This window comes from Homo sapiens, chromosome 7, assembly GCF_000001405.40.
Source record: "Homo sapiens chromosome 7, GRCh38.p14 Primary Assembly".
NCBI classification, from domain to species: Eukaryota; Metazoa; Chordata; class Mammalia; order Primates; family Hominidae; genus Homo; species Homo sapiens.
Window position 1 is genome coordinate 150,716,613 of NC_000007.14, and position 27,111 is coordinate 150,743,723.

The following is a 27,111-nucleotide window of genomic DNA, read 5'->3' on the forward strand; positions in this document are numbered from 1 at the left end:
CTTCTGCACTCACAGCCGAAGGGAAAGCAGCAGGTTGGGGCTTCTTGTGGCCAACTTCAGAGCCTGTCACCAGGAAAGGTGAGCCTGAGCCTGGGAGTGGCGGGGGCTGGGGGTGCTCTGAGAACCAGAAAGAACATGATTCCTAGAGTGTTTACTGCCTGAACACTTGCATTCTACAAGGCATCATGCAGGCGAGCAAGATCTGGAACAATCAAGGACATACTTCCAGGTTTTTAAGTAGGCAAAGTTCAGAGGAAATTTTAGGATCATCTTCTCCAGCTCTGGAGCACACACGTTCTTGGTGGGGAGTGAAATCTGTCTCCTCCCACATTCCCTTAACAAAGTAAGAAAAGAGTGTGCTGGAACCACCTCCAGGAATAAAATACAGTTTGAAAGGCATTAAACATTCCTCAAGCTCCCTATTGAGCAAAGGCAAAAGATATTTCTATGGCCCCATAAGCCATCTAACCTCGGAGTGAGTTACGACGTGACAAGACTGGGTACATTTGAACTCTCCTCCTCACTGTCCACAGAAGGGGCCCCTGAGGAGACATCTGAGATTAATATCTTGGTCTTCAACCCCTTTCCCTGCATGGCCCCTTAAACATCTGCTCCCTTAATTCAAGCTTCTCCTGCTCCAGCCACGGGGACACCTCAAATTCCCATCTGTACAATAAAGGGGGTTGCAAAAATGACTGATGTCCAAGTTCTGAGCTGTGGACATCAGAAACATTTAATTCATGAATCAGAATCTCAGGATGGATCCAAGAGATGTACATTTTTAAAGAACATTCAAGTAATTCTGAGAAGCAGCACATTTGAGCGGTGAAGAACTCAATAAACTTTGCGGTCTCTTAAAGTGTTAGGAATACAGGATTCTATAAGTGTACATTCCTCAATGATTAAGGGCCATTTGTCACCTCAGAGTTCAGCTGGGTCTTACTTTCCTTTAAAAAAAAAAACTATTTAAAATCATTTCAACCCCTCTTCTAAACTATGGAAAATTCCAAAGGCCTATCCAGAATTCTGCAGCACTGGAAAAAGAAATTCTCATTTTCTTGGTTGACAAGGACATTTTGCTTCATCTAAATTCTTTTCTCTGAATCTTGCAACTGTTTCTTCATTTCTGCTTTGATGTCATTTATGATCATCTGTTCATTCCTACATGCAAAATAATTAATCACATAAGGCCCATGGAGTGAATTTTATTGAAGGCTTTGGGGAGGGCCAGTAGAGTTCCTGCAGAAACAGAAACAGCTCTAGATTTAATATGAGGCAAATCTGTTCTCCAAGTCCTTCAATCAAAGACAAGTTACTCAGCCAGCCTCTCTCTCTGCCCCTCCTTCATGTGTGGTGCCAATGGGAGAGAACACAGGTATCCAAGTGACCAGGGTGCAAGACACAACAAGTTTGACATGGATGGTGAGGCACAGACAGATGGTCGGGGAGGATCAATAGTCCTAGGAGGGGAAGCCGAGTGGGTTGGAAAGGCCCTGAAATCTGCTGATTGTGAAGTAGCTGACCGAGTGGGGTATTGTCTGGGAATGAGGCTGGAGACATAGATGCAGGGAGAAGTGAATTTGTGTTCAGGAGCTTGTGTGATTAGGCAAACTGGATCACAGAGGGTTTAGCTGTATTACACAATGTTAGATTTCAGCATAATCACATTTGGAGGGGAAGCAACTTCAGGAGTTGAAGGGAAGTGTTCAAGTCTCTCCAGCACAGATATCGTATTTAGACATCTCTAAACAAACCAAATTATTTGATTTTAAGAAAACAGAGTTAGGGGCCCTCCAGATCTACTTGGGAGATCTGTTCAATTTCCAAAAGAAAAATCCCAATTTTCTTCTTTCTTCCCAGGTCAGCCACTTGAAGGTGGGTGCCTAAGTCACTGGGCACATTTTCTGGTTCTGAGGGTTTACCTAATCTTCCCCCAGCTGCTGAATCCCCTGATATCTCTAGCTTATGTCAGTGATATAGAATCACCCAGGGAAAAGTAATACCTAAAGCCCATTGGCATTGAGTAAATGTTATAACCGACCCTCTGCTTTTTGCTTTTGGAGTTCCTGAAAAGACAAATCTAGCCTCACCCAATGTTCTCACAGCATCCTACCAACTCAAGGGCAGGGTGTTGGCCCTTCCAAGGCCATTCTCTCAAGTTCCGATATAATCCTTACTTAAAGAAGGATTAGCACAATGTATTATATTTGACGAAATTTACCTGTCTTCTCTCTAGCCACGTGCCCTTCTGCCAAGACATACACCTAGATTTTTAGATCCTTGCAAGCAAAAACCATGTCTTTTCACTGTGCTGTCACCAGCTCTTTGGACTTTGCCTGACACCCTGTAGGTGGTTATGCCTATTTGTGGTTATGCCTATTTGAGGAATAAATAAATGAATTAACAAATTGTGTTTGGGACTCTTCCAGGTAAGCATGGGAGGAAGGAAGATGGCGACAGATGAAGAAAATGTCTATGGTAAGACCATATCTCTACACCTCATACTTGCCCCCCTAGGCTTGAACTTAGGGTAATAAGGAGAATGGGGCTTCCTCAAGACTGAACAGAGATAAGTTCCAGAGGTGTCTCAACTCTGGGATGAAACAGCACCAGCCCTGAGATCTGCATTTTAGCTGGATCTCTGCTGTGAGAAGTTAAGTTCTGTGACTAGCCTGCTCCCTTGGTTCCACAGTATAAAATAAGGATAATAAACCTACTCCGATCACCGCAGAAGAAGTGCAGAGGGGATTAAATCATGCACTACAGTGAACATGATTTGTGAGGTAGAATGTTTAGAGAACAAGGATAGAGGGTTAAAACATATATTCTTTTTAGGCAGCCAGTTTAAGAGAGAGATAAGAGAGGAAGGAGAGAAAGAGGGAGAGAAAGAGAGAAGAAGGAAAGAGGGCTTATTTCACCCCCTCAACAGGCCTCTGAGAAACAGGCCCCTATTATCGCTCCCACTTTTGCCGAAGAGGCTTAATACTTAGATTATGCAGCTTCCCCAAGGTTACACAACCAGCACGTGGTGGGGCTGTGATTCAAACCAGGGTATCTGGGACTCCACACAGCTCTTCACTACCAGGCAGTATTGCCCCCACTGCCTGTCTCTGGGGATGGTCTCTGGGAGAATATTTCAGAGTCCATCGAAATTTTCAAATATGAAATAAATATGTCTGCATGTGTGTGGATGACCAGAAATGTCAGATGAACTATTGGGCTGGACTGATAAAGAAGCATTTCTATGATAATCAACTGTAGTTGGAGCATCTACTGGTGCAGGCAGACAACCCAAATACAAAAGGAAAAGGTGGAAATGAACGCCCAGGCGTTCAAATCTCTATTCTTAACCACTTATGCTAAAGGCAAGAAGATTCCAGTTCCCAAGGGGAAGTTGGTTAAACTTAAGTAAGATTATAACACTTGGTCTCACAGGTTTAGAAGAGAACGCTCAGTCCCGGCAGGAGTCCACGCGGAGGCTCATCCTTGTTGGGAGAACAGGGGCCGGGAAGAGCGCCACTGGGAACAGCATCCTGGGCCAGAGACGGTTCTTCTCCAGGCTGGGGGCCACGTCTGTGACCAGGGCCTGCACCACGGGCAGCCGCAGGTGGGACAAGTGCCACGTGGAAGTCGTGGACACTCCGGACATTTTCAGCTCCCAAGTGTCCAAGACAGATCCTGGCTGTGAGGAGAGAGGTCACTGCTACCTGCTCTCGGCCCCCGGACCCCACGCGCTGCTCCTGGTGACCCAGTTGGGTCGGTTCACCGCCCAGGACCAGCAGGCGGTGAGGCAGGTGAGGGACATGTTCGGGGAGGACGTCCTAAAATGGATGGTCATCGTCTTCACCAGGAAGGAGGACCTGGCCGGGGGCTCCCTGCACGATTACGTGAGCAACACAGAGAACCGGGCCTTGCGCGAGCTGGTGGCCGAGTGCGGGGGCCGGGTCTGTGCCTTTGATAACCGGGCCACCGGCCGGGAGCAGGAAGCCCAGGTGGAGCAGCTGCTGGGGATGGTCGAGGGCTTGGTGCTGGAGCACAAGGGCGCCCATTACTCCAACGAGGTGTATGAGCTGGCGCAGGTGCTGCGCTGGGCAGGCCCTGAGGAGCGGCTCCGGCGGGTGGCGGAGCGCGTGGCAGCCAGGGTGCAGAGGAGGCCATGGGGCGCCTGGCTGTCGGCCCGGCTGTGGAAGTGGCTGAAGTCCCCCAGGAGCTGGAGGCTGGGCCTGGCCCTGCTGCTGGGGGGCGCGCTCCTGTTCTGGGTGCTGCTCCACAGGCGGTGGTCGGAGGCCGTTGCGGAGGTCGGGCCTGACTGACAGCGCAGGTCCTAAAACTGAAGGCAACTTGGTTAAGGGAGGCTGAATTCTTGGAGCTGAAGGGAAAACTTCATTCCAACGGAAGGAATCCTGTAGTTTCAGGCATAGTTTTAATGACACAGAAAACTTTGCTGCATCACCTTTGCAACTTTGCCAAAGCTCAGAGTTCACTTTTTAAGTTTTTAACTCATTTTAAATGATGTGTATGCAGAGTTTTAAAATAAATTCGTCTAACAATAACTTCCTTTGGTAGTTTTGGTAGTCTAATGTCAAGTAGCTTGTAGTGGGGACAAACGCATGGCACAGGGAAAACAAGTGCCATTATTTTCGAGCTTTTTAAAAAATTTAGACTGCCCCTCCTTGATAATTTTCTAGTTCTTATACATGGGTAGATAGGTTCCTTTGTGATCCTTGTAGACTTTTAGCATCAATAAAAGAAATGTGGGGGTTACACACGTGAATGTTACTTCTGAGACATCAGTTTATAGTACAATGATTTACTACCAAAAAGATGAATGTAACTGTACTGTTACAAAGTGGAAAATAACAGTTTCCACTTTTCTAGAACATATTATGGTTCATGGCATTCCAAAATGAAGTAAGGGCCGGGCGAGGTGGCTCACGCCTGTAATCCCAACACTTTGGGAGGTCGAGGCAGGTGGATCACCTGAGGTCAGGAGTTCGAGACCAGCCTGACCAACATGGCGAAACCCCATCTCTACTAAAAATACAAAAATTAGCCAGGCGTGATAGCACTCGCCTGTAATCCCAGCCATTCAGGAGGCTGAGGCGGGAGAATCACTTGATGCAGTGAGCCGAGATCGTGCCACTGCACTCCAGGCTGGGTGACAAAGCAAGAATCTGTCTCAAAAAAAAAAAAAGAAAAGAAAAGAAAAAGAAAAAGAGTAGGATATTGGGAAAATAACATATAATATCTTCTATATGGTTATTCATATTTTTATCACACACACACACACACACACACACACACACAGTCTGTATCTCGAGCTCCTCTCTGGTTATGGAGAAGAGGCAGAGCACCAGGTGCATAGGCTGAGACTGCAGACACCTGAGCATCCTATGCTGTGAGGCGAAAGCATCCGGTTTTTTCGGGATGGGCCTGTCCAGGAAGGTTCTCGAATGCCACGTGATTAGAAAATTTGCCGCTGACTGGTTGTGCGAATCAAACAATAGGATTTCCTTATTTCTATTTCTGAGCATAATGAGAACCCTTTAAGGGAACTCATTGTCTTTAAATCAGCCAGCCTCTAGTGAGGTCATGGAGACATGGGAAGCAGGTATTCACATTAGCTCTATTCAAGAGGAAGAGGAGGAGGGAGTGTGCGCAGGCGCCCTAGGGTCTTCCCCAGCACACGTTGGGAAGAAGGGGTCTGCAAGCATGCGCACAATTGCCAGCTCAGGCTAAGGACTGCAGGAGGTTCCAGGTGGGTTGCGGGCTTCGGGCAGGCTATGGTGAGGGGTCCTGAGGGCCTTGGTGACCGCTGCAGGGAGTTGGACTTTTTGAAGCGTGGCTCAAGAAAAACCCATGTTTAATTCCTGCCTTTCGCTTCCTCAGCAGCCTTTCTGGGCCCAGGCAGGGGCCTCGAGCCAGGGAAGGATCCTTTGATGACCAGAGGGGACAGCAGGGAGGGCACAGCGTGGTCGTCCACGGTCACTTGCGCACGAGCCAGTGCTGCTGCTGGTGTTAGACAACAACTTTTATCAAAGTGGTTTAATGTACAGCAGCAACAAAGCTGCTTTGTGGAGCAGGGCTCCCAATAGGCAGTGTGCCCAGAGTAGCAGCTCGGAAGCAGTACTGCAATCACATTTATACCCACTTTCAACTATATGCAAATTTAGGGGTGGATTATGCCAAAATTTCTAGAAAAAAGGTCGTAACTTCCAGGTCGTGGGATTGTTGCTATGGAAAGGAGCCAAAACTTCCAGCTGTTGCCTTAGCAATGGTAACCTGACGTGGCACTGGTGAGTGTGTTTTATGGAGAGACTCTTTCACCTCTTCCCTTTCAGCTTGTCTTCAGTGTGGTCTGGAGCCCAATCCCCACCTCCAGAGTCTAGTCCTGCCTCCTACCTCAGTAATAAAAAGTAGTAGTATATGGTTAATTGTCAAATACATTTGCAAAGTGTAATCAAAGATACATTACCAATCTGAATCTCAAAATGTGCTATCATCTTTGAATTTGAATAATGTATTATTAAAGAAGTTACAGTTTTCCTTTACATTCAATAACATTTCTTTAGTGGTTTTCTTTTTCAGATACTTTGATTATGATCTTTTTTTTTTCATCTTTGTATCCCCGTTATACAACCCAGTGCCTGGCATAGAAAGTGGGATCAACAAATGTTTGGAAAATGAATTGTAAAGTTGACTTTCCTGTACCTTTTTAATATTAGATTTCTAGCTACCAGACTTTTGACCATTTTCTAAATTTTCTACCATAGATAACAGAAAATTCTTTCGCGCAAGCATGTCATTGTATTAATGATATTCTCCTGCCCTAAGGAAATTTACTTCCCTTCAAGCACAGGGTCCCCCAAATTACTGTATTTCCACCCCTTTCAGCTTATTTTATCCTTTTCTCCTGCTACAGAACAGTTGGCATTCACCATTCCCTTCGGTAAAGTCTTTTTTTAGGCTGTGGCTTAAAGGTTGCTTTTTCCCCCATAGCTCAAGGTTAGGCCTTGTGACCTCACTTATGTAATTTGAGTGATTTGATAGCACAAATCAATTTTATACTTAAATTACAGCATAAAACAGCACTGCCTCCTGTTGGAAAAACTTGCTTGCTAATTTTAACCAGACACAGTAAAAATACTGTCCAATACCTCAAAAATTGTGTAAATATATATCCATTTCAATTGTCCCCCTTCCTCTCCTCTCCTTTTATCTCTTGGAAGATAAAAATGTATGGGTCCTGTGCTGATAATGTTTCTGTTCATATTTCTATGCCCTGGTACCTGGATCAGCTTTTGTTCTACACAAAAAGACTTGTATCTGGCTTATTTCTGAAAGCTAGTGTTGGCCATGATGAACTTTTAGAGCAAAAGATTTCAGGCAGAGTACATTCTTACATATTCTTACACAATCAATATTCAGTTCCAGCCCGCACAGTAGCCCTAGCAAATGCCAGTGCTCCTTCCAGAGATTCACCTATGGATTCAGTACCCCAGAAGAGAATTTCTGTAAATTCTTGGGGAAGCTATAGCTAGACTATGGCTCAACACTCATTTTTCCCCCATGATTCTTAATCTAACAGTGGCAATGTTGGCCTCTTCTTAGGCAACTAGATTCGGTTCTTGCTTATTCTGCCAATAAAATACTTTATTGAGATGCTTACAAATTTGTCCCCTCCTCTTTATTTCTTTAAGAAGTTATCACTCCATATACTGGATGTTTAGTTATAATTATTGGTTTGAGTCTTATTTTTATACTTTCAATCACATTCTTTGCCTAATTCTTCTCATATTTTTATATTTTCTTTCCCTCCTCATAATTCTCTTTACATACCACTAAGTTTAGGCACTTGGACTTTTTTTACTTTCAAAATGGTGTTATATTGTGCATATCCTCTTGACTTCATACGTCTGAAGACTCCTAGACTATCTTTTCTACTACATGCTAGCAGAATGTATCATGATGAACACTGAAGAGAATTGCATACCACTGCTCAAAAATTAAACACACACACTTGCATGCATGCAAACGTGCGCGCGCGCACACACACACACACACACACACCAAGGATAGACATCTCAATCTCAAGAAATAAAAAGGAAAGAAAGACTTTCTGACTTCCAGTTCTGCAGAAGGATCAACTCCAGGTTTTAAGCCTGAATTATCAAAATTTGTCTCCAGTAGGCAGAGAAGGCCTTCTTCTTGGAAAGCCACTGATTCTTTCTTGTGTTAAAGGAGATAACTAATATTCTCTGTAGGTCCCTCTATAACAGCTTGCACATGAAGACCTAGATCAAGATTGTCTCTGATGCTCAGTTAGGGTTACTCAGAATCAATAAGATCAATGGAGGCCGGGTGCATTGGCTCACGCCTGTAATCCCAGCACTTTGGGAGGCCAAGGAGGGTGGATAATGAGGTCAGGAGATCGAGACCATCCTGGCCAACATGGTGAAACCCCATCTCTACTAAAAATACCAAAAAAGAAAAAATAATGAGCCGGGTGTGGTGGTGCAAGCCTGTAGTCCCAGCTACTCAGGAGGCTGAGGCAGGAGAATCACTTGAGCCCAGGAGGCGGAGGTTGCAGTGAGCCAAGATCGTGCTGCTGCACTCCAGTCTGGGTGACAGAACGAGACTCCATCTCAAAAAAAAAAAAAAAATCAATGGAACATAGATCTTATGGTAAAGGTGGCTAGATAATTAGTACAATACTCCCATAGAGAATAATGTTAACACTCTGGATAAAATAAATTAAATAGTAAGCTTCAAAGACCTAACAAAAGAGTGAGGAATTTCTAGAACAAACCTAAGAAAATTGAAAACCCAGAAACCTAAGCCTGATAAGCAGCCACTTTTGCCCTTAGGGTATTTTCAGGTCAAGTAGAAACAGCTTAAAGATGGAGCCACAATTTGGGATTTGGTAATTTTATAGGATAATCAGGATAAAAGTAAAATCCACAATCCATCCAAAGTGAAGAATGTCATCCTCGCCTTACTTTTAGAAAGGAGCCCGCCTGTAATCCCAGAACTTTGGGAGGCTGAGGCAGGCGGATCACCTGAAGTCAGGAGTTTGAGACCAGGCTGGCCAACCTGGTAAGACCACGTCTCTACTAAAAATACAAAAAATTAGCCAGGCGTGGTGGTGCATGTCTGTAATCCCAGCTACTTGGGAGGCTGTGGCAGAAGAATTGCTTGAACATGGGAGGCAGAGGTTGCAGTGAGCCGAGATTGTGCCATTGCACTCCAGCCTGGGTGACAGAGTGAGACTCCATCCCAAAAAAAAGAAAAAAGAAAAAAAGGATCCTAAAGTGATAAATTCTCAGATGTAAATCATCCTTCCTGTAGACTGGTAGTGTGAGTGTCCTTAGACTTGATTAAAGCGGTCTTTCTCCAATAGTGTCTCAAGATTTGGCATTAAAAAGGAATTGTACCTGGAGGATGATACTAATATTTTGGGCCTTAAATTTTCCCTTGAACACTTCTTTTTAAATGTAATGTCTAGCACTCAGAGAAAACCAAACACCAAAAGAAACATGATGCAATGAGAAAACCAAACAAAAAGTAACAGAAACAAATAAGCAAAAACTTGAGATACTATAATGATCAGATATGGGTGTAAAATAAGTATACTTACAATATCTAAGACAATTTTTAAGCAGTCTTTAAAATGTCTTCAGAAAATAGGAAAATATAAAACTGACATGATACATTTGCAAACATACCAAATAAAACTATTAGAATTGACAAACGGAATGTGGCAGCCATAAAACATGCCACCCATGTCACCAGCTCTGGAGAGTATGATTGGTAAATGGCCCTGCTTCTGTCCTTCTGGACCCACCACCATGTTTGTGCCAAAGGCATGCCACCTGCAGACTGCTCCCAGCCAGTGAGCTAGCACATTGGCATGGTGAGGGTACTCAGGCTCCTCCTGGAAAGACATGAGCTTCCTCTAACTGGTGGCTTGGCTCAAAGACTCTCTCTTGGCTCTCTGAATCTTTCCTGGAACTGCACTGCCCACGACTCTTCCTAACCAAACCTTCTTTCTTTCCACTCTCCCTTCACAGGTGTCAAACCATTATGGTCTGAAATCTATCCTTCCCTCTACATGCTTCTGCCTCCATTAAATTTTTTGTACATCCAATCCAGTTTTGGTGTTTCCTCCTTCACAAACCTGAACTTATATAACTGAAATTAACAACTCAGTGGACAGATTTAATGGATTAAACAGTGCTGAAGAGAGAATCAGGATAGAAGAAAATACGGAATGCAGCCCAGAGATACCAAATAGATAGGCAATGTGGAGAGAGGGTAAGAAATATAGAGAAAAGAGTGAGAAGATTTAACATATTAATCATCATTCTGAAAGAATGGAAAAACATAGGTTCACAGAGATAAGGCAAAAAGAAAAAAGGAATAGAAAAACAGGAGTTAAGACAATATCTGAAAACATGAGAATTTTCCAGAACAGATAAAATATATCAATCCACTAATTCAATTAAACCAATAAACTTAAAGCAGAAAAAAAGACATATTATAAAAGAGTGAAAATTGGACTGACAACTGACTTCTAAAAAGAGGCAAAAAAAAAAACCTGTTCTGCACAAGACTTCTATTACACATATACAAAGAACACCCTGGATTCTGTGATAGTTAATTTTATGTGTCAGCTTGATTGAACTAAAGGATGCCTAGATAGCTAGTAAGATATTATTTCTGTGTGTGTTTGTGAAGGTGTTTCCAGAAGAGATTAGCATTTGAATCCGTAGATTCAAACGAGTAAAGAAGTTCTGCCATCACCAATAGGGGCAGACATCGTCTAGTCTGTTGAAGTTCCAAATAGAACAAAAAGGCAGCAAAGGGCAATTCATTCTCTCCTCTCGAGCTGGGACATCCATCTTCTCCTGCCTTCAAACAATGGAGCTCCTGGTTCTCAAGCCTTTGAACTCTTGGACTTACACCAACAACCTCCCACACACACACCTGGTTCTTGGACCTTTGGCCTCAAACTGGGAGAGTTACATCATCAGCTTCCCTGGTTCTCAGGCCTTCAAACTTAGATTGGATTACACCATCAGCTTTCCTAGTTCTCCAGCTCACAGACAGCATATTATGGGGCTCTCAGCCTCCATAATCATGCAGACCAACTACACACACACACACACACACACACACACACTCACGCACACACAATGGGTTCTCTATTTTTGGAGAACCCTCACGAATACAGCTGCCATTAGGAAGAAGGTCAGGATCACTGAGAAAGCCCAGTGCCCAAAGCCCAGGCACATAGGGCATGCCTAAGACTGAAGCTATGTAAGAACAACAAAGAACACTTCTCTGCCCTTGCCATATATCTAAAAAAATACTGGGTGATTAACAAGCAATCCAGTCTACTATAGGGAAGTGTCAAAGCCTGGAACCACCCTCTATGAAGTGGAGTTATGCAGAGATAACTGAAATCTGAGGGTGAATGGAACAGGAACACCAGGTAAAGCCCTGTGGCATTTCAGTCCCCACCTAAGCACAAGGCAACACTAAACAAATTAAAAACCTAAGATGCACTGAAGGTAACCATAGCAACAACCCCAACCCAGTTCAACTCTTAATTAGATTGACTCAACTGAACACTAACAGCCTGACAGAAGAAGAGGCATAACCATTCTAGGTATAAATACTATTTATCCCAATCTACTTTCCTACTGTGCATATTTACAATTTAATGAAGTTATAATGTATTCAGAAAAGCAAAAGTATAATAATCCATAATAAAAGGACAAAACAATCCACAGAACCAGACTCAGAAATAATCCAGAAGTGGGACAGGGACTTTAAAATAATTATGATTACTATGCTAAAGGACGAAGTGAAAAATGTAGACAACATGTAATAAAATTTTAGGCATTTCAACAGAGAAATGGAAACTATAAGAGTCAAATGTAAATGTTAGAAATTAAAAACATTCTATGAGAAATGAAGTATTCCTTAAGGGTTACATCAGTAGACTTGACACAGTTGAGGAAGGAATCAGTGAAATTGAAAATAAGTTAATAGAAATTGTTCAAACTGAGCAAAAGGAGAAAAACAAATGAGGGGAAAACAATATCTAGGAGTTATGAAATTATATCAAGCAGTTTAACATACCTGTCAAAAAGGGAGAATGGACAGAAGAAATATTTGAAAAGGAAATGGTTAAGACTTTTCTAAAAGTATTGAAGGACACCAAACTACAGATCCAAGAAACAGAGAGCTCCAAGCAGGGTAAACACATAACAAAGCAAAACAGAAAATCTAGACATTTTATACTTAAACTGTTGAGAACCAATGATAAAGAGGAAGTCTTAAATATAACTAGGGGGAAAGGACATTATATTAGAAGAATAAATATTAGAATTGCAGCTGATTTTTTGTCATAAACTACAATTCAGAACACAATTGAATAGCATCTTTATAATACTGAAATACAAAAAACTACCCAGAATATTATAGCCAGTAAAAATCTTTCTAATATGATGGTGAAATAAAGAATCTAACTAACAAAAGCTGGAACAATTAATTATCAACTTATCTTCACTATAAGAAATGTTAAAAGAAGTTTTTCAGGCAGAAGGAATGAATATGACACCAGATAGAAATTTGAATCTACACAAAGAAATGAAAAGCCCTAGAAATGGAAAAAATAAATACAAATATAAAAGAAATTTCTTTTACATTTTATAGCTCTAACAAAAATAGTAATAGTGTATTAGGGAAGTTATAAAATATGTAAAAGTTTACAACAATAATATAAAAATGGGAAGGATGAATTGCAAATACACTATTGTAACTTTCTTAAAATATATGTGAAGTAGCCTGAAATTTTTATAGGTAGATTGTGATAAATGATCTAAAATCCATTTAGATTGGTTAAAACCACAAGAAAACCATAAGATTCAACCATAGGCTATCTACTAAAAAATTCACTTTAAATATAATGACTGAATTGGTTATCTATTGCTGCATAACAAATTACCACAAATGTGACAACTTACAACAACACACAATTATTATGTCACAGTTTCTGTGGATCAAGAGTTGATATTTTTGGAATGTTTGGCCCCTCATTTCTCATGTTGAAATGTAATCTCTAATGTTAGAGGCAGGACCTGGTGGGAAGTGTTTGGGTCATGGGAGTGGATCCTTCATAGAAGGATTGGTGCTGTCCTCACTGCAGTGAGTGAGACCTGGTTATTTGGAAGTGTGTAGCACCTCCCCCACACTTTGCTGTTACTCTCATCGTGTGACATGCAGGCTCCCCTTTGTCTTCCACAATGATTGGAAGCCTCCTGAGGCCCTCACCAGAAGAAGATGCCAGCACTGTGAGGCCCTCACCAGAAGAAGATGCCAGCACTGTGCTTCCTGCACAGCCTGCAAACTGTGAGCCAAAATAAATGTATTTTCTTTATAAATTACTCAGTCTCAGTATTTCTCTATAGCAATGCAAAAACAGCCTAGCACAGGAATCCAGACATGGCTTAGATGGATCCTCGACTCAGGGTTTTGTGAAGCTGAAATCGAAGTCTTACCCATGCTGCCATTTGGAGCTCAGGGTCCTTTTCCAACTTCATTCGGGTTGTTGGCAGAATTCAGTTGTTTGTGGTTGAAAGACTGTTGTTGTGGGTAGATCCTAGAGGCTGCCCCTCTCCATATATTCACAGGCAGTTTAAAGCATGAATGTTTTCTTTCTTAAAAGCTGGAAGTATCTCTTGCTCTTAAGGCTTCTTTTAATTAGGTGAGACCTACCCAGAATAATCTCCCCTTTAACTAATGCAAAACTAGCTGATTAGAGACTTTAATTAAATTTGCAAAATCCCTTCACTTCTACCATGTAAACCAATCATAGGAATGTCATTCATTCTATTCACAGGTCTTCCCACACTAAAGAAGAAGAGATTATCCAGGGCATGTATACTAGTTTATGGGAATCTTGGAGCCCACCTTAGAATTCTGCCTATCACAGTCATAGAGATGGCTTAAAAGAATGAGGAAATAAACATCATGAAAACACTCATCAAAAAAAAGCTGGAGAACCTACATTAATATAACATAGATCCGTAGTCCACAGAGCAAGGAATATTGTCAAGGATAAAGATGGACATTATATGATGATAAATGTGTTAATGTATCAGAAAAATATAAGAATCCTTAGAATATTTGCACCTAAAAACAGAGCTTCAAAATACATGAAGCAAAACTAAAGAAACCAAAAAGATACATAGACAAATCCAAAATTATACTTGGATACTTTAAACCTTCTTTCTCAGTAATCAATAAAACATGTAGACAGAAAACCGTAAGAATACGGAAGGTACAAGACTGGATACATTCCCTTAAGTTCAGGAAAAGGCCAGAATGTCCCTCATTGCCACTCCAATTTAATGTTTTGATAGAGATCCTGCCAGTGAAAGGAGGCAAAGAAAAGAAATTAAAAGCACACAGATTGGAAAGAACAGAATAAAAACTGTTTTTATTTGCAGATGACATAATTTTCTATGAAGAAAATCTCAATCAAGAAAAAATTCTAGAACTAATAAATTAACAAGGTCAGAAAATACAAGGTCAACAAACAAAAATCAATTATGTTCTTGCATACTTGTAATGAATGACTGGAAACTGAAATTAAATCATCAATACCTTTTATAGTACCATTAAAATTATAAAATATTGGGATTAATCTAAGGTTTTTACACTGAAAACTACAAAACATTGATGAGGAAAATCAAACAAGACCTAAATAACTGGAACAATATTATGCCATGTCCATGAATCAGAAGATTCAATATTATTCAGATATCAGTTATTTCCAAATGAATCTGTAGAGTCATGCAATCACAATCAAAATCTGGAAGGATTTTCTTATATATTTTTCAAGCTGATTCTAAAATTTATATTTAAAAACCAAAACCATTTTGAAAAAGAAAAAGAGAATTTCCACTTCCTGATCACAAGATTTATATATAGCTGCCATCATCATAACGGTGAGGTACTGGTGAAAATCAGACATAAAGATCAATGGAACAGAATACAGTTCAGAAATAGACATATATATATGATCAATTAATTTTTGAAAGGGTACCAAAGTAATTTAATAAAAAAGGATACTCCCTGCAAGATAAGTTGATGGAATGAAAAACTGGACATATATTTGCAAAAAAAATCTTGATTTATATCTCACGCCATATACTAAAATTAACTAATGTGGTCTTCTGAAAACGGTTTCTCTAGACTGCAGTCTCCTTATCTGTAATATGGGGGAGGAAAGGACTAGTTTACATGATCCCCAAGATTCTTCTAGCTCTCACCTTCTGTGCCTGTGCCTTTTTCCTTTCCCTTCCACACAACTCAGTTATTCACTGGGTTAAACTCAAATGGCAGACGTGTACATGCAAGTCTCCATGAGGCTTATGGCAGCACAGGCTGTAGTTTTCATAGAAAAGCCACAGGAGGTATGACTTCTAATGTTGTCACTGAACTGTTTCTAACACTTCTTGTGCAAATCAACTGCCTTCACACATTCAGCTTTGCCTCCACTTTTTATCATTGCTCTTGCTGTGTTTTCCCTTCTCTGAAAAAGCAAATAGGCAGCCACTGTGGTCCTTGCTTAGGCTCCCAGGATACAGAAGCATCCCCAGGCCAGGAACCCCATGTCCTGGATCTGGGAAAACCTGGCCTTGACAGAGACGGTGGGGCAGCTTGGGAGCACTGCTTGGGGCAGAATCTGACAGAATCTCCTGATAGCTTCAGGAGAGGAGGTCTGATAGCTTCAGGAGAGGAGGAACCAGAGATCTTGGGGTGGGATATGTTAAAAGACAATGTGCACCCCAAGAAGCCTGGGCCAGTCCTACAGATGTGCCTGTTGGTAACTCTGATACCCCATGATGTCAAATGTCAATAGTAATTTCAGACAGAAGGAAAGCAAGACCCAGACAGCAGGACTTTGTATATTATATTTTTTTCATCAAAAGTAGAGCTTCCCAACTTTTTCATGTCGATGTCCACATGGTAACATTTGTCACAACATAGTGTGTAAACAGAAGAGGCTGCTCTCAACCTCAGATGCAACTGATCTCAGGCCTCGAGCCACCTTGGGGTTTTGGGGGGCTCTTTGTCTCCCCTCTGAAGGGTGAGGGGGAAAATATCTCAACAAACCTATAATTGATAGACAGCTCAAGGGCCGAGAATTTCCAATGTAATGACTCAAAAGGAAATCAGCCTGGTGAGGGTACACCTCAGCAAGCTCAGAAACATTATTCGTGACAGGAAGATATCAGCTTGTGGATCCCAAGATGCTCACCAGGAGACATTCAGTTGCAGGTGATAATGTCAGGGTAGAGGAGGGTCTCATTAGGCTTTCAGGAGGGTCCACCCCACTCCAGATGCAACAGGAGCTGTCCTCCATGGTGCCAGCCAGGAAATCTTCAGGGACCTTATCATCCCATCTGGACCTCATCTAACTCATCTAATAAACAACTAGAGGAGAGCGTCAAGGCATGCATTCAGTCCTGCTGCTCCCTCTTGGCCTTTTGAGCTAACTAAATGGGTGAAGGTTCTACTCTAAATGCAATGCTATGGAATTAGACAACTAGACATCAGCTACCCAGACAACTCCAGAGGTCATGACAACAAGCTCTTAAACCTGCTCTAGGCACTGTCCTGCCCTGACACCTACATACTCTCTGCTTCCTTTAAAATAACCGCTTCAAAGGGCCCCTTCTCCACCTCCAGTCAACCTTGATCACATGTCCAAGTTCTACTCCACACCTCAGGGCTTTCTCCTTGGGGTTGGTCCGTTTTGACCTCTTTTCTTCCCAAAATCCTGCTTAATACATTGTCTAAAACTGTGCTATCATGTATTTTTTACCATGACCCTCAGTTTTATACTGCTTCCCAGAGCTTACATACACTCATATTTTGTGTGACTAATTTTGATAGTTTCTATTCTACTCTATTTCATGTTTTGATGCTCTACAATGGGGTGTATGAAATACACTTGTCCAAAACATTCATTTGGGACCCTTACTCATTGTCTTTCATTTGCATAAGTCTTGTCTCTCTAATAAGATTTCAGATTCCTTACGAGGGTGGCTTTTTGTCTGCTTCCCATGGGTGCTGTCTGGACTTACCACCCATTAGGTCTGGTGTGGTGCAAAGGCTCAGGAGAATAGGGTAAATTTGCTTCAAAAGATGCAATATTTAGATACTTAGAGTGTACTTCATGGCATCGTTAATCCTTCCTCCATGTTGTATGTCAACTGTGGGCTCAAATAGTGGCCCCTTTTATTGACCTGGATGTTTCTGAATCCTCAACTCTACCTCCTGGATTCACCCCTAGATGATCTCCGCCCCCACCGTGAAGCCTCTTCAGCAGCTGTGGTCTCTGTAGAGCACCCTGATCCAGGAGGCTCCTTTCCTCACCTCCAATTAGAGGCGCCCCTGACCTGGACCCTCTCAGCCCTGAAAAGAGTAGCCATGACCTTGTCCAGACACAAAGGAAATAATAATGTTGATAATATAGAAATGCCTGCATTTTAATACTTTTTTTCAGCATCTTTTACCTGCTCTTTGATTTTCGTAAGAACACAATGTTCTAAAAAAAAGTTCCAAGAAAGAACTTTTTTTAGAGTGACTACCGACAAGGAAGAGAAATCACACTTCAGCATTTGGCTTCAGGGCCTCCCAACATTGACTTGGGGTTTCATTTCCACATTTCCCACTAGTCATGTTCATAGGAGACCTTCATGGAATAGGGTGAGATGATGGATGAAGAGACAGAGGCCAGATGGTGAAAGACAGCAAGCATGACTAAGAGTTAGGAGACCTTGTGGTGACCAACAGGCTCACTTTGACTGGGACTAAGGGGTTTCCCAGGACGTGGGCCTTGTAGTACTAAATCCAGTCAAATTCAGGGCAAGTTGGCGGTTGGTCACCTAGGACCTCAGCCCAGTGGCTCAGGAGAAAGTGGTAAATGCCATGCCTCCTCTTTCCCTCATTCTCCCTTCCTCCTTCATCAGAAGGCAATAATTGTCTGTCTCCCATTTCAAACAGAAGGTCCAAGGCATGAACCCAGGGGTCCTTGAATCACTCCAAGTTGGTAGGGAAGGTGGCTGCCCAAAATGTCTCCGAGATGGAGCTTTGGCATCTCCTCAGCTTAATAAAGCTGATTCTCAGGGCAGCCTACAGGTATCTACTCTGAGATGGCTACTGCACTCAGAACTCCAGAAACTTCATCACATAGCTAGAGCACATGAGTTGCAACTCAGCGTGCTCAGTTCTGTGCACCAGGGAGCATCACAGAGAGAAAGCAGGGATAGCAGAGGTGGCTGGGGATGGATAGAGACATGCTTTCAGTAATGATTCATCATATTTTGTACTATGTCAGGTTTGGTAGAGAACTGTCTCTGTCCAGGCTGAAAAGGGATTGAATTTGGTGTCAAACAGAAGGGTAGGGAAAATGGCCACTTCCTCGGTGTCCCAGGTTTCCTGGGGGTTTGTTTGTTTTGCAAATCTGAACAGAGGAATAGAGAGGGTGTGGAAAAAGGCACAAAGAGTCTAGTTTTGGAAATCCTTTCATATCTGGATATATACGAATTTCTACAACCCTACTTTCTGAAAGTAGCTACCTAAGATTATTCTTCTAGCACTAAATGTAACTACAAAAGGGGACATGAGGGAAGAGTTAGAGCATTTAAGTTGTATGTTTTACTGATTTACTCAGTAAGTATTTTTGAGCACTTTCTAGGGCTAAGTTCTAGCAAGATCCTGACCTAAAGACAGTCCCTGGCCTCTAAAAAGCCCACGATCTCACCCAGAAAACTGATAGAGACCAGTTAACACATTTCATCATTGACTCCCTGGGGTCTCTTTGAGCCATAAGAGGAGCCTGGGAACTGCTAGAGAAGAGATAAGACTTAGAGAACAGATCTCAAAGCAGAAAATCAGTCCTTAGCTGGGGTGCCAGAGCACCCAGTTCAGTGGATAAAAATAATGTTTGCAAATAGTTCAAACCAAAAGGAAAGAAGAGAAGGAGTTTGAAGATGTTGCCAGAATTAAGTGAATTTGCTACATTGATGGGAATGGTTAGCTTCGGTGCCCCTCACTGTTTATAAGATTTTGATGTGAACTCTGTTGGTCAAGTTTTTGAAAGATTCCAGCCAGGTGCTGGGGGAGTACCTGGTCCCTATCTAGCAAGGGTGAAATCCTGGTCAGATTACAGCCCACTTTCTGCCCTGCTCTGCTCAATTCACATAAATTATGAGTGCTGACTAGGTTGAAAGTCCTTGAAGAATTTAAAAATGTAAGGGCGAATAAAAATCAAAAATAAGGAGAAAACATTAATTCTCTTTTCTGGGGAAAAAACAAAGTGGAAAAGAATTACCCCTCCCTTCTTAGAGCATTTTCTTTAGAAACCTTGTAAGTGTGAAATCTTTCTCTACCCTTTGTAATGCAAATCTTTTTAAAAGCTGTTTGACAGCCCAGGGCTGTCTGTAGAGCATCTGGAAGCCATCCCTTTGAAATGCAAACATCAAGGAAGGTAGCGTCCCCACCTCCCAGTCTCTGTGTGAAAATAGGGGCCTAATTTAGGAGCCTAACTTAGGTAGGAGCCTGACATCTGCCAGCACCTTTCTGAGTTGCAAATCTTCCTCTTGCCATAGAGGATGTGAGAAGTTTACTTTTCCTCTGGAAAGACAATTAGCCAACACAGATGATTACTGAGTGAATTTAGGATGAACTATGCATGTCAAAGGGTGCTGTCAAGTCCTCTTACTTGAGGATTAGTTATGGTTTAACTTGAGAACACGTGTGTAATAGGTGGCACCTGCCTGGCTGTATAACCAGGTGGCATCCCTCTCCGTCTTTGCAATCTCTTCCTGGATTGTCTGGGATCCAGATCACATTCTGGTTCAATGGACATTCAATAATAAAATTGTTTTCTTTCTCTTCTGCCTCTGTGGAGAGGTTTTCTGGGCTAGCAGGAGATTGTTTAAAATTGTTTTCCCATCAAGTCTTAGACAATTGTTACCATATGACTGTAAGCCCCACTTCAAATGTCAACAGAAAAGGATATGGGGATTCTCTGGGCCATGACGGCCCTCCGCCTAAGTCCCACTGTGTTCTCCATCGCATAATTGCCTTATGTCCACTGCCCTAACCTTAAATGGCAATCAGGTTTATGTCCACTGCCCTAACCTTAAATGGCAATCAGGTTTATGTCCACTGCTCTAGCCTTAAATGGCAATCAATTCAAAAATAGAGGTTCTATCACCCTGCTTTCAACCCTTACCAGATAAACTGACACGTAGACTCCACAATGTCCCCACAGGGTGGGCTCCATCACGTGCCAGACAGCTTACCAGGGTCAGTCACGAGCCCAGAGTCAAACCCTGCAAGGGCTTGTTCTGGTCCTCTTTGGACCAGAGTGCCTTTCTGATCCTGGTTAGCAGAAACTTTCCAGAAGCAGAGCCTGTGAGAAGGGGCCCAAGAGTGCTGGGAGGAGAAGGTGCCCCGGTGATGGGTGCTGAGGGCAGCAGCTGCTGCCCAGAACTTTCCAGTCACTAGGGACCTTTTCTGAACTTGGAAGTGGGAGAGTCTGTAATTCCCTTCATATCTCCTTCTTCCAAATACTGCTTGCTTGAAACAGTCAAAAAAAAAAAAAAAAGGAAATGGGATGGGGCACACTGTCCCAGGGCAGGCTCATGACAGGAAGTGACCCGTTAAGGAAGCAGCACATCGCTGCATTCGGCTGGTTTTCAGGGTCTTGTTCCCAATCAGTTTCCAGCCAACACCAGGGTGTCCTAGTCCGCAGAGGTGTGGGGGACACACTCCATAATCTCTACTTTTCTTTTTGTGCAGCTGAGTCATGGAGCTTTCAGCCCCAGCACATGGCTCCTCCTTAACTGCGTCTGCTCAACCTCCCTCAGCCCTGTGAACAGCATCCCCGCACACAGACGCAGAGCAGGACTCTCTCTGCTGCCACTTCACCTTCCTGAGAGAGGACCAGCGGCCAGAGCCTCAGTGACTGCCACCCTGGAGGACAGGGCACAACAACCGTTTCTGGTAAGGAGAACTGGGTTTATGCTCACAGAGACTTTGGGAATTGAAAGGATCACAGTTTGGTCACAGCTGTTCATTTCTGACATGACCTTGCACAGATCCCCTCACTTCTGGGTTCGCTGGTCAGTAAAACGGGGCAATGGTGATGAGTGTTGCGGGCATCAGCAGGTGCACAGCTGGTGGAGCACAGCCTGAAGAATCTGTGCCTGCACTCACAGCCCAGTCCCAGGACAGCGGGCTTTGCTGCCCCATTGCCCATTACTTAGCCAAGTCGATCTCCATGAAACTCTCAGGGAGTAAGGCTGAACTGATCCTCTCATCAGTGGGACAGATGGGAGAACTGAAGCTCCCAGAGGGTGATAGGCTTTCCCCCATCTCCCCTAGCATGCCGGGGCATTCTTCTCAATTTTACCCTCCTAATTTCTCCTGTCCCAGACCAGCCAGACACGTACCATGTCTCAGACAAGCCTGGGAGCTGAGGATGGATTCTTAGGGCTCCCCAGGGCAAATGTGGGATATTTTCCCACCCCAGGAGCCTCATGTTCCAAACAAGACCCCTGAGTGGACCTTGTCTTGTGACTTTCAACTTCTGAAAACTACCCCATGCTCCCCCAGATGCCCCACATTTTTCCTATGACACCCTGCCGGACGCACACCAAACCGCAAAACACATGATTCCAATACCTGGAAATACATGGGCTGGGGCAGATGGGTGAAGGAGATACTTATGAACAAGGAAGACAAGAAGTGGTTTGATCTTTTCTAAAATAGTATGGAAGAGGCTGCTTTCTTGTAATTTGCTAAAATAAGCTCTTCTCATGGTAAAATCAGGTTCATGCAATTTTCAAATCGGAATGTGCATTTTGTTCATTTGCTTCACCCTTTTCCCTGAGCCAGACCCTCCCACCAGCTTGCCAGAGGCTGCTACTGTCTTGCTTGCACACTGCCTTCCAATCTCTCATGAACTTTGGTCTCTTTTGTGGGACGATTAGTAAAATTTTTCCTTTGGAGAAGACGCCTGTCTTCATTCTCAATTCCTCCACTTTTGTCTGCCCTGTAGACCAACACGTATCACATTCCTTCAAGCCTACGGTGTGTCCACCACGCTCTATTCAGTTCTTTTATAATCTTCTCCATGACTCATTTTAGCATTGCCATCAGTATCCTTTCTGACTCACCTGTGAACACTTTGTTATTTGTGAATATCTGCCAAAAAATGTATTCCTCAATGCAGCCTGATCCACTCAGAAAGCTTGGATTGGGAGAGCTATTGTTGCTGGTCATTGGCTAACATAACATAGTTTGACTGGCTTTTGTGACAGGCAATTGGCTGTTTTAAAAGAAAAGACCTCAATTCAGAGAAACTCCTGCCACCAGCAATTTTATTTTTGAATAACCTTTTATAAGAAATGCACTCAAGATTTTGCAATAAAATTCTGTGTGTTGGTTTTAGGGTAGGCTTCTAGCTGTCCAATTAATTTGTCTCCTGACCAGGGAGTGGCAGCATTGTACACATGTTCCAAGAGGTTTGTTGACTTTTTTGGAAAAGTCTCTTTTTCCACCTGTGGAATCAAGGACAATACACAGCAAAAGGAGCCATTTCCTGATGCTAGCTCCATTGTAAATATGTGACCTTTGGCAGGTCATTTAATGCTCAGTTTCCTTGCATTTTAATAGAAATTTTAAGATCAGTTTTGATCACATCACAGGGAATTTGAGAGAGCAATTAAAATAAGAAGGATGAAATAACTTTGAAAATTATAAATGTATTCACAGAGGCTTATTACAATTATGATGTTCATAATCAATATCATTACCACTGTCATCTTGACCCTTACCACATCATTATGTTGATTCCAAACCTCAGAAAACGTCATCTAAAGTAGAGAGGATGTCAGGGAACTGGTGCTATTTTAGCAAAAGCCAGAAGCATAATTTACCAGAGACGAGAACAGGGTGTGGGAGAGAGGAAAATGTTCTTCTCTGGGCTTAAGAAAAAGAAAGAAAGGAGAGAGGGGAGGGTAAAGAGGAAAGGAGGAAGAAAAGAAAGAAGGGAAAGGGAGGGAGGCAGGAAGCTGTCTTAATACATTCTGATAATATAAAAATAGATTTCTTGACCTAAAGAAGGCCAAGAAAATCCACTGAATGAATAGAAAAATGTGGAAAAGATAGAAATCACAGAAGTTATTAAAAATTGAAGTTTATAAATTACCAAAATAGCAAATAAACCATGAAAACTGTTTTTAATTTAATGATAATCAGTAAAATGTAAGTTTAAGCCAATTAAGACATCCTTATTTATGCCCATAAGGATGACAGGAAATTAAAAGTGTAATATTACTAAGTGCCTGTGAAGATTTGGGGACTTCTTATAAATGGGTGGTGCAAATAGGAGTTAACTCAACTCCCTGGGAGTCATATTTGGCAATAACCAGTCACGTGGAAAATGTACATCCCCAATACTGTTGCACAATGCTGGAAACCCGGAGCAGGCAATGAGTTGTTCTTGAATTCGGCCTGAAGTTGATTCTTTCTCTTCAATCACCTCACTACCTCCTCTCCACCAACCGTCAGGGTGGGAAAGCGGTCATACCGGTCCCCCTATACCATTTCCTCTCACGTCAGTTCTTCGTGTCCCTGATCCCCACTTCCATCCTCCCACTGGACAGTACCTTGTAATTTCCTCTCCGCCGCTGGAATGTCCATTTGACACAAAGACTTTCTGGGACTGGAAGTTTCCACTACTTCAAATAAACCAATCTTATTTACAGCAAGGCAATTTTTTTTTCTCTATTCTGGTAAGTTTGTTACTTTAATTTCAATTTTTTTAATGCCTACTCTTTGTTCCATAGAAGAATGCTTTCTCCATTTCATGCCTTTCTGGTTGGGGGAGATAATCAACTGATTTGCTTCAAAATATTTCCTGATTTTCTGTAAGTTGAGGGGAGGGAAGTAATCGTGCACTATTTTAGCATAACCTAACATCTAACATCACCTGCTTTGTTTAAAGTTATTTACAGATGTTTCAAAGTAAAGTATGAGTTAGAAAATTAGGGATGGAAATGGCTCATTTGAGAATGATTATTCTTAGATGTCTGAATTGAGGTGCCCTCAGGCTCTACCAGCTCCCAAACGTACATCTGCTTTTTATCCTTTTCCTGTTTTTATTCCAGGAGAGAATGGGAGGATTCCAGAGGGGCAAATATGGAACTATGGCTGAAGGTAAGAAAGTCTTGAAGTTCTCAAGAGCCCCAGACACTTGGGAGAATCACAATTCTCTCCCCATCTACCCCCATCTAAAACACAGTGGCAGAAACCCATTCATTTTAAATGAAGAAGATAAAGGCAACTATCATCACGTGTGTGTTATCAAACCATCACACACACACACAGACACACACACACACCATAGTGTGATGCTCTCCCTGCATCAGGTATGTGGGAAATGTGGAAAGGAAACCAAGTCATAGGTTGAAGGGTCTGGAAGCAAATGGTGAATATGTTTTCTCTTTCTTTGTCTGCTGACAGCTCAAAAAGAAAAGGTCCCCATAGGGATTTAGTCATTGTGCTTGCTACAAAACACCACAGAATAACTTAAGAAAACGAAGAACCAACCCAGAGTGGGAGAAATAAAATAATAGATTTTTAAGAGCCTAAAATGCACTTCGAATTCATTTGGGCTCTAGAAATCCACAGGTTCTCCCCTCTTCGTGCCTGAAGATTTTCGCTCCTGCCACAGTGTCACCCTCTCCAACACCACTTCTGCTATAATTTTGTGTGCTTCAATCAGCCACATAGATGAGCTTTTCAACACACATGCTTCTATTGAGCTTATCTTCCACCTTTTTGAGCCATCCACCCTAGGGTCATCTCCCAGACGCTGCCCTAACATTAACTACAACCTATGTCATCTCAATTTCAAACATTTCACTCCCTATCCAGAGGGCACAGACCCAGGGACAGGCAGCTGACCCCCGGCAGTGGGTCACTATAGATTTGCCAGTGGAGACCTCCTTGACCCTCAAGACTTGGATGAATGTGTGGAGTGTGTCTATACAAGTGTGCCTGGAAATGTGTGGGTGAAAGAGAAGTAATTGGATTTTCTCACTTGTAACTACTAATCCCCTGCCTCTTTCTAATAATTCTCCATGGAGCTGGCCTAAACACCACGCAGGGGAAAACACAAGGACCATTTTCTTTCAGGAAAGCTCTATTTGCCACAATCCAGATGAAGTGCTTAAAGCATCCCCTTAATGCAACAGTTCTAATTCCTGGCTGTGGATCCAAGCATGGGCTTCCAATGGGGCTTTCTACATGCAAGATTCACCTATAGTTGTATGCACACTTTTATGTACACATAAATATGTCTGTCATTCTGGGGAGGACGTTCATAGCTTTCATGAGATAACCATGAACAATGACCTAACAGTCTTAAGAATCATTAACTTAGTAAGATACAAAACTTCGTTTTCTACAGGTAGATCAGAAGATAACTTGTCTGCAACACCACCGGCATTGAGGATTATCCTAGTGGGCAAAACAGGCTGCGGGAAAAGTGCCACAGGGAACAGCATCCTTGGCCAGCCCGTGTTTGAGTCCAAGCTGAGGGCCCAGTCAGTGACCAGGACGTGCCAGGTGAAAACAGGAACATGGAACGGGAGGAAAGTCCTGGTGGTTGACACGCCCTCCATCTTTGAGTCACAGGCCGATACCCAAGAGCTGTACAAGAACATCGGGGACTGCTACCTGCTCTCTGCCCCGGGGCCCCACGTCCTGCTTCTGGTGATCCAGCTGGGGCGTTTCACTGCTCAGGACACAGTGGCCATCAGGAAGGTGAAAGAGGTCTTTGGGACAGGGGCCATGAGACATGTGGTCATCCTCTTCACCCACAAAGAGGACTTAGGGGGCCAGGCCCTGGATGACTATGTAGCAAACACGGACAACTGCAGCCTGAAAGACCTGGTGCGGGAGTGTGAGAGAAGGTACTGTGCCTTCAACAACTGGGGCTCTGTGGAGGAGCAGAGGCAGCAGCAGGCAGAGCTCCTGGCTGTGATTGAGAGGCTGGGGAGGGAGCGAGAGGGCTCCTTCCACAGCAATGACCTCTTCTTGGATGCCCAGCTGCTCCAAAGAACTGGAGCTGGGGCCTGCCAGGAAGACTACAGGCAGTACCAGGCCAAAGTGGAATGGCAGGTGGAGAAGCACAAGCAAGAGCTGAGGGAGAACGAGAGTAACTGGGCATACAAGGCGCTCCTCAGAGTCAAACACTTGATGCTTTTGCATTATGAGATTTTTGTTTTTCTATTGTTGTGCAGCATACTTTTTTTCATTATTTTTCTGTTCATCTTTCATTACATTTAAATCTCTGGACCCTGGAGCACTTCTAATGTATCACCCCATGGAGTCATTGTTCTAATAATCACCAATTCAGACTCAGATCCTCGTGGTCTATGGAGCATGCTGCTTGCTGTCTGTGCAGCTCCCATTTCCCCTTCTTCCTGATAGACTTGGAGCTGTGTGCCTCCACTCCAAGGCTGCCTGCCTGCTGTAAACACTATTCCACTCTGTCTGCCAACAACTGCTTCAGGAATGGGCCTGAGATCCCATGCAGGTCCCTGAGAAGTGAGTAAAAGTCCGCAGAGGTGGGGATGGAAGATCTCTCCTTAGATAGAACCTGTCTTCCTCCCTGGCATTGTGGGGTCTGGGCGTGACACTGGGACTCTCAGCAGCTTTGTGCTGCCAACCTGAGATTGAAGGCAGTGCCTCAGAGCAGCACAGAGAGTTGGGGCCCCCTGAGCCCTGAGCCACCAGCCCTGCAGCCTGCCCTATCTCCGCATTTCCAGTTGTATTAGCCAATAGATTTCCTACTTATTTAAGCTATTTGAGCTCCGGGTCTCTTCTACCTGCATTCTAAAACATTCAAAGTAATAAAAATTTCTCCACATTCCTTTTTATCCTTTAAATCTGTTGGAACTTCCCAGTCCACATGCTTCCTTTGAGCAAGTGGCATCTAGAATAAAG

At 43.0% G+C, this 27,111-nt stretch overlaps 3 protein-coding genes across 4 annotated transcripts, besides 3 other annotated features; all 3 read left to right on the forward strand.

The window, feature by feature from the left end:
* Positions 1 to 7,672, forward strand: GIMAP1 (GTPase, IMAP family member 1). The gene is made up of 3 exons (NM_130759.4): positions 1 to 78; positions 2,430 to 2,478; positions 3,436 to 7,672. Exons 2-3 carry the CDS (start codon positions 2,436 to 2,438, stop codon positions 4,311 to 4,313), a joined length of 921 nt encoding a protein of 306 aa, NP_570115.1. The 5' UTR covers positions 1 to 78; positions 2,430 to 2,435; the 3' UTR covers positions 4,314 to 7,672.
* Positions 1 to 27,034, forward strand: GIMAP1-GIMAP5 (GIMAP1-GIMAP5 readthrough). 2 transcript variants are annotated; one of them, NM_001199577.2, is made up of 6 exons: positions 1 to 78; positions 2,430 to 2,478; positions 3,436 to 3,794; positions 20,893 to 21,096; positions 24,267 to 24,315; positions 25,571 to 27,034. In NM_001199577.2, exons 2-6 carry the CDS (start codon positions 2,436 to 2,438, stop codon positions 26,449 to 26,451), a joined length of 1,536 nt encoding a protein of 511 aa, NP_001186506.1. In that variant the 5' UTR covers positions 1 to 78; positions 2,430 to 2,435; the 3' UTR covers positions 26,452 to 27,034. The 2 variants fall into 2 exon arrangements, with proteins under 2 accessions (NP_001186506.1, NP_001290559.1); NM_001303630.2 differs by lacking the exon at positions 3,436 to 3,794.
* Positions 16,768 to 16,907: an enhancer, noted in NCBI's record as "active region_26842". NCBI's record gives its function as "activates an Ori minimal core promoter by ATAC-STARR-seq in GM12878 lymphoblastoid cells {active_cell/tissue: GM12878}" and the evidence as "EXISTENCE:reporter gene assay evidence [ECO:0000049][PMID:35858748]".
* Positions 18,941 to 19,927: an enhancer, noted in NCBI's record as "OCT4-NANOG hESC enhancer chr7:150432641-150433627 (GRCh37/hg19 assembly coordinates)". NCBI's record gives its function as "activates a minimal SCP1, AML or CMV promoter by ChIP-STARR-seq in naive H9 embryonic stem cells {active_cell/tissue: H9 hESC(naive)}" and the evidence as "EXISTENCE:reporter gene assay evidence [ECO:0000049][PMID:30033119]".
* Positions 20,803 to 20,882: an enhancer, noted in NCBI's record as "active region_26843". NCBI's record gives its function as "activates an Ori minimal core promoter by ATAC-STARR-seq in GM12878 lymphoblastoid cells {active_cell/tissue: GM12878}" and the evidence as "EXISTENCE:reporter gene assay evidence [ECO:0000049][PMID:35858748]".
* Positions 20,806 to 27,034, forward strand: GIMAP5 (GTPase, IMAP family member 5). The gene is made up of 3 exons (NM_018384.5): positions 20,806 to 21,096; positions 24,267 to 24,315; positions 25,571 to 27,034. Exons 2-3 carry the CDS (start codon positions 24,273 to 24,275, stop codon positions 26,449 to 26,451), a joined length of 924 nt encoding a protein of 307 aa, NP_060854.2. The 5' UTR covers positions 20,806 to 21,096; positions 24,267 to 24,272; the 3' UTR covers positions 26,452 to 27,034.
* Positions 27,035 to 27,111: the final 77 nt, after the last annotated feature.

Coding starts and splice junctions, on each gene's coding strand:
- GIMAP1 (NM_130759.4), top strand. CDS start 2,436: ATGGGAGGAAGGAAGATGGCGACAGATGAAGAAAATGTCTATG. Junction 2,479..3,435: donor AGATGAAGAAAATGTCTATG/GTAAGACCATAT, acceptor TTGGTCTCACAG/GTTTAGAAGAGAACGCTCAG.
- GIMAP1-GIMAP5 (NM_001199577.2), top strand. CDS start 2,436: ATGGGAGGAAGGAAGATGGCGACAGATGAAGAAAATGTCTATG. Junction 21,097..24,266: donor GGGCACAACAACCGTTTCTG/GTAAGGAGAACT, acceptor TTTTTATTCCAG/GAGAGAATGGGAGGATTCCA. Junction 24,316..25,570: donor ATATGGAACTATGGCTGAAG/GTAAGAAAGTCT, acceptor CGTTTTCTACAG/GTAGATCAGAAGATAACTTG.
- GIMAP5 (NM_018384.5), top strand. CDS start 24,273: ATGGGAGGATTCCAGAGGGGCAAATATGGAACTATGGCTGAAG. Junction 24,316..25,570: donor ATATGGAACTATGGCTGAAG/GTAAGAAAGTCT, acceptor CGTTTTCTACAG/GTAGATCAGAAGATAACTTG.